Consider the following 619-nt stretch of genomic DNA (forward strand, 5'->3'; position numbering starts at 1 on the left):
AGAACATTTGCTTTGCTTTGAAAATATTTTATTAGTGATAGATAGGTTTATAAGCATTTGAAATATAATTGTAAGCAACAGAAGTCAAATAATAAATTGTTGATTTTTCAGCTTCGGATTTGGACACTCATTTGTCATCACTGTGACACTTTCTTATTTAATACTTGGGCATTTCTAGCTTTTAAATGAGATAATACTTTCTTCCTTTCCATTTTTTATTACCTTTAGAAGCTTGAATCCTGATAAAGATTTGCAGGCTAATCAGTAGCATTTTAGCTTTTATGTATGGTTTTTTGAACTCAGATATCATTAAATGAACTCACCTGGGAAAGGGACCAGAAGAAGTTTGGATAATGATGAAAATGATCTCTCCTAGAAAAAAATCATTTGAATATAGATAGATGGATACTTAGACTGATAGACTGAGAGAGAGGGAAAGAGAGAATTGAGGTGTTATCTGATGGCAATTACAAGAATCTCAAATTATCAATTTTTGATGGCCTGGTATTGCAGGCTTACAAGAAAAGTTACAATATAGGATGGTGCCAATAACCCCAAATCCCTGTTTACTCTTTCATCATACCAAAATAGGCTGGACCTTGTGTGAGTCAAGATTCCT

This window comes from Homo sapiens, chromosome 7 (genome assembly GCF_000001405.40).
Source record: "Homo sapiens chromosome 7, GRCh38.p14 Primary Assembly".
NCBI classification, from domain to species: domain Eukaryota; kingdom Metazoa; phylum Chordata; class Mammalia; order Primates; family Hominidae; genus Homo; species Homo sapiens.